Genomic DNA, 6000 nt, shown 5'->3' with positions numbered 1-6000 from the left:
CAGGGCTGAATGGCCCCTGCTTGTAGATAATGTATGCTTATTTCAGCTGCAATTTGTATATGAGATAACCCTTCCCTTAAGAACTCCTTATGAAGTGAGAATTGTGCACCCTGTTCCCAATGAGGAGGCCTACATAGAAAACTAAAGACTGAGACATCAGGCGGCTGCCCTGAGGAAGAACCTCACTCTGTCATTGGGCAGTGAGTGGGCAGGGGTCCTGGCTTAGGTGGAAGCAGGAGCCTCTGTGAAAACCACTCCTCCTCTAGTCACAGAGAGGATAACCTGTGGGCCTGCCCTGAGGGGACCTGTGGGGCTCTCAGCTGGGGAAATGGGGAAACAGACACTGATCCTGGCCTCCACTCAGGACTCACTGGGCTAGCAGCTGAGTCCTCCCTGGGCCCCTGCAGAGCCTCAAGCCAGGGTAAGCACAGGCCCACGCCTCCCAGAAATGACACCTAGTCACAGGGCAGGAAAGACCCCACGAGGGTTTGGTTGGCCAAGGGTTTGCATGAAGGGCCCCTGTTTCTCTAGGGACTGGAGGATGGATAAGAGACCTGCAGCATGGCTGCCTCAGTAGAGCACTGGGGTATCTGGACTGTGGCATACACCGTACTCCTCCTCTTTATCCTCCTCCTTCATGGAACAGGCCAAGATGGCCCTCAGCATCCTGATCCCTGGCTCGCTCATGACAGAATTGTCCCCTCTTCTCCTTCCTCCAGGATGTAATGAGTTTGTTTTCAGGGTCCCTCTTCCAGCCTGGGAGCCTCAGACAAACTCACCTGCACACTGAGCAGTAAGCGTAGCACCTACACCACTGCATGGTAGCATGGTCAGGGAAGACCCTTGGTGTGTGATGTGGCTTAAGAGTGATGGAAACCATGGCAAGGGGGACGGGATCCCTGATCACTTCTCAGGCTCCAGGTCTGAGGCTGACCACTCCTTAACCATCTCTAACATCCAGTCCCAGGACAAAGCTGACTGTATCTGTGGTGTATCTCACAGCACTGCAATGCCATGTGAGTGAAGCACAGTGACCCAGATGAATGGAGATGTGGGACAAAAACTGTGTTCTCCACTAAGAAGGCTGCCACACAGCTCTCAGAAAATGTCTGGCATCATAAATACTAGGAAATGTTGCCGGGTTTTTTGTTGTTCCTGTTGTTTCCTTTTTAATTTTACAAGGAGTGACATAGATGCATTCTGATTCCTGCCAAGAGTTCCCTGGGAACCAGTTTGCTACACAGATCTTCAGTAATGGTGCAAATATTACAACAGATCTTGACACCCTGCTGGTCATTGTCCCTGCATGGGGGATGCAAGGCCATTCACTCTCCTCTCCAGATATAAACACTGGGACTCAGCTACATGCCTCCCTCCGACCACATCAAGGTTCATCCTAATGACCACCCTTTGAAGATAACATCTTTAATTTTTTTTTGACAATTTTAAAAATAATTTCTATTTTTATCTTAGATTCAGGGGGTACATGTGCAGTTTTGTTACATGGGTATACTGTGTGATGCTGAGGTTTGGGGAACGATTGATTCTGTTATTCATGTAGAGAGCATAGAGCGCAACAGGTAGTCTTTCAACCCTTGCCCTATATGTGTTTAACCCAGAAAGTCCAAATTTGATTTTCACATTTTGAAACTGAATGTTTCGTTCAATGTCTCCCTTTTCAACTGGTTTCTGAGTTGTTTGTGTGCAATGTTATGAATGGCATGAGATTCACTTTTTGGTGTGGATCTCTGGATGAAGGCTATCACCCTTTCTAATCTGTGTAATGCCCTGCACCCAGTTAATCATGGAGTGTGTATCCAAAAAGTACAAACACAGAGTGACCACTGGGACTCAACACCTTGAACCCGGTATCAACAGAAGGCCTGTATACACTGAATCACAGATGTGAATCCACAACAAATCCTTCCTATGGCTTTGACCCATTTCTCTAAACCAGGCTGTCTCCCAAGAGAATCTCAACAAAGAATTGTCTTGAACTCGAGTCAAAAGGATGCCCTTCAAGCATTGTTTAAGCAGAACTCCTACTCTGGCATACCAACCAGAGAACAACTGGCCAAAGAAATCAGCAGTCTGGAGTCTAGGATACAGGTGGGCTTGTATTTTTGTTTCATTTCCTTGGGGTCAAAGAAAAAAGACAAGCTGGGCTAAGCAGTCTCCAATTACACCATGTTAAGAATGAACTGAAAGTAAGACCCCTATCTCTGCCTTTTACCAATCATGGAACATGTGGTCTGGTGTATTCATTGATGGGGGAAGGAAGTGAAATTGGGCCTTTTTCCTGGTAGGAGAAAATTAAATCATATTTGCATGCTCTAGAGAATATAGGTAATAGGGTCACCATGATCATGATAGGTTGTAATTGATACCTGGAACCAATATTACAGAATGCTCAGAATGCTTGTTCTTTAATAGGTCATATTGAGGACAGTGAGGTCAGTGCTGCCATAAAGTCCCGTTTCTCATCACATGGTTTTTGTTTCTTTTCTACTGTTTTGTTTTGAGACAGAGTCTCACTCTATCACCCAGGCTGGAGTGCAGTGATGCAATCTCAGCTCACTACAACCTCCACCTCCCAGGTTCAAGCCATTCTCATCCCTTACCCTCCCGAGTAGCTGGGATTACCAGTGTGTGCCACACCTGGCTAATTTTTGTATTTTTAGTAGAGATGGGGTTTTGCCATGTTAGCCAGGCTGGTCTCAAACTCCTGGCCTCAAGTGATCCACCCACCTTGGCCTCCCAAAGTGCTGGGGTTACAGGAGTGAGCCACTGTGCCTGGCCTCTACTAAGTGTTTTTATGTGGGCTTTACACACTGGAGAGTTTAATGCCTGATCCTGTTTTGGAATACTTTGAGTGGAATAATGGATATAAAAATAAAACCGGCTGGGTGCGGTGGCTCATGCCTGTAATCCCAGCACTTTGGGAGGCCAAGGCGGGTGGATCACGAGGTCAGGAATTCAAGACCGGCCTGGCCAAGACGGTGAGGCCACATCTCTACTAAAAATACAAAAATTAACCAGGTATGGTAGCAGGCACCTGTGGCAGAGAATTGCTTGAACCCAGGGGGCAGAGGTTGCAGTGAGCTGAGATCACAGCACTGCACTCCAGCCTGGGTGACAGAGTGAGACTCTGTCTCAATAAATAAATAAATAAATAATAAAAAAACCCTTCTGTTTCTCCAGTTAAGAAAGAAATAGCTGGAAAGATCACAATCACACCAGGAGAAGTGTATCCAGACTGTCAATAACTAAGTAAAAGGGACTGTGTCGAAGAAAAGCCTATGGTCAGGGTTTTATATCAAATGCTATAATCCTGAGTAAGCTCTGGGATACAGGGTTCTGAGTTTCAGGAAGGCCAGATGAAGATGTATTTCCTTCTCTTTATGCACCCAGTCCAGGTGTCAGAGTGCTACATCAAATCCCAGAATGAAAGTGTGTCCCAGGCCAGGGGCAGTGGCTCACGTCGGTAATCCCAGCACTTTTGGAGGCCGAGGCAGGAGTTCGAGAACAGCCTGGCCAGTATGGTGAAACCTTGTCTTTATTAAAAATACAAAAATTAGCCAGTCGTGGTGGCATGTGCCTGTAATCCCAGCTACTCAGGAGGCTGAGACAGGAGAATTGCTTGAACCCGGTTGGCGGAGGTTGTAGTGAGCCCAGATAGGGCCATTGCACTCCAGCCTGGGCATAAGAGCAAAAATCCGTCTCAAAAAAAAAAAAAAAGTGTGTCCCATGGGAAGACATGGAAATTGGCTGGTGCACTGGCAACCAGCCCACTGGAGTTGGTGGTGCGGAAGGAAAGCACAAGAAACCATGTAGAATGAGGCTGGATCTGCCAGGGTGTTCACTAATGTATTTGTTGCCTCTACATTTCCAGCCATGTTTAAGCTTTCTTTCCTGATCGTATTTGAAGTGACATATTGAGAGAACAGATGTAACAGTTTTACAAACTGCCTGGGACATAAGAGCAGGTCAACAGGTATCGCTTGTCTTTTAGGATAGAATCCTTATCGTGAGTTATCAAGTCCCCACATGAAACACTAAGGAATGATTAAAAGCACATTCCTGGCCGAGCACGGTGGCTCATGCCTGTAATCTCAGCACTTTGGGAGCCAAGGCGGGTGATCATCCAAGGTCAGGAGTTCAAGGCCAGCCTGGCCAACATGGTGAAACCCCGTCTCTACACAAAATACAAAAATTAGCCAGGGCACGATGGTGTGTGCCTGTAATCCCAGCTACTCGGGAGGCTAAGGCAGGAGAATTGTTTGAACCTGGGAGGCGGAGGTTGCAGTGAGCCGAGATCGCACCATTGTACTCCAGCCTGGACATTGCAGCGAGATGATCTCAAAACAAACAAATAAACAAACAAAAAACTGCATTCCTCTACACCCTCCAGTAAGGAGGAGGCAGCCACAGGGTTTGATTATGACAGTCACTATCTATTCAGAGTTAGATATTTGGTTCATAGGAGTCTCCTTATCTAGTATTGCATCTGGAATGAATGAACTCTGAGGTATATATGAATGATTCCAGGCTCAGCAGTAAGTATTGATAATTAGTGAGCTCCTCTTTAAATGGATTTTCATCAGAGGTCCCTTCACATGGATTGTGTGTTATGAAATGCTTTTGACTATGGGGAGATGACAGAGAGCCAAGGAAAGTCAGTCAGTCTTTGGCCAAAGCCTTTGTGAGACCTAAAGAGTGAGAGGGAGGCAGAAAGAGCAAGTGAGCGTGAGACAAAAACAAGTGTGGGGTGGGGAAGAGGTGAAGGAAGAGTGGACACACACCCTTTGGCCAGCTCTGGCTTTAGGATGCCAGCCAGTGTCTCCTAGCCCGGGGACCTTTCCTCTGGAGATCACAGATGGGAGAGAGAAGGAAGTGATTCTTGGTATTGAGCTCAAATAGATACTTAAAATTATGTAGACTAAATCGGATAAAACTTGAATCTTCTTTTCCCACTTAGATTTGGTTTCAAAACCAGAGAAGACACCTGAGGCTGAGCTGGCTGCAGTGTGGACACTCCTCGGGAGGACAGCAGCTCCAAGGACACGAGAAGCCTCAGCCCTGGGCCCCAGGTGAGTCCCCAGCAGTGCCAGTGCACTTCCTCAGTGCAACTCTTTGAAGTAGAAATGTCTCTTTAGGCTGTTTCCAGATTTGTTGCAAGAATGCTGATGTCTCTTCCACAGCATGCTAGTGTTGGAGATGTGACCACCATCCCCATCTTGTGGGAAGGTAGTTTGGAAGAAGGGAAGGCCATGGATCTTCCAGTCCTGGTGTGGCAGGCAGTGCAGAGTCCTCTTCTTCCAGCACTGCAGGGGTTTAATCCAAGGGCATGAGCATCTCAGGGGCCTGGGAGGGAGTAAGGATGGTGAGAACAATATTTGAAAATGTCTGTCGTAGGGTTGATGTGAAGATGGCCTGAAAGCCCTCTTTTCTTCCTGTTTTCCTACAGAATGCACTGTCCTGCAGGCACCACAGACACCAGGCAGTGGATACCTTTGCTGAATCCTAAGGAGCCAAAGCATTTTTATGACAAACATGACCTCCTCCCTGCAATCGTCACATCCTGGGTAGTCTGGACAATGCATAAACCAGAACTGAACCAAGGTGAAAATAGGTAAAAGAGACACATCCACACTTCACTCCCTTTGGTGAGTTCACAGGGTGAGCCTGAAGGCAGACTGACGCAGAGAAAACAGGGGTGCTATATTTCATCTTGATGTCAGTTCATCACAAAGAGTTTGCATCTTAGCTCTTACCAGAGGAGATGGGAACTAGAAGTTACCTCACTATCTATCTACCAATGATTGGTAACACAAGCTTAGATGCATAATACCGGATAGTGTTCACATGTAATCCTCCCTTTAAACATGTAGACAGAGAACATGACAAGGAAATGCAAAACAACTCCATGAAATCACTGAACAAAGCAGGATGTTCATCTTCTGATACTATTAGCATTTTGTATATATTTACATGCACCTC

The 6000-nt window shown here is 46.6% G+C and overlaps 1 protein-coding gene across 2 annotated transcripts in view; it reads right to left on the bottom strand.

The window, feature by feature from the left end:
- Positions 1–1617: 1617 nt before the first annotated feature.
- ZNF33A (zinc finger protein 33A) overlaps positions 1618–6000 on the bottom strand; it is a 57346-nt gene continuing 52963 nt past the window's right edge. For both annotated transcript variants that reach the window (NR_136709.2, NR_136710.2), the window contains one exon: positions 1618–5364. The gene's annotated coding sequence lies outside the window, so the exon portion shown is untranslated. The remainder of the gene's footprint in view (positions 5365–6000) is intronic.

Source organism: Homo sapiens, chromosome 10 (genome assembly GCF_000001405.40).
Source record: "Homo sapiens chromosome 10, GRCh38.p14 Primary Assembly".
In the NCBI taxonomy this organism is placed as follows: Eukaryota; Metazoa; Chordata; class Mammalia; order Primates; family Hominidae; genus Homo; species Homo sapiens.
This window is presented reverse-complemented; position numbering and strand designations above follow the sequence as displayed.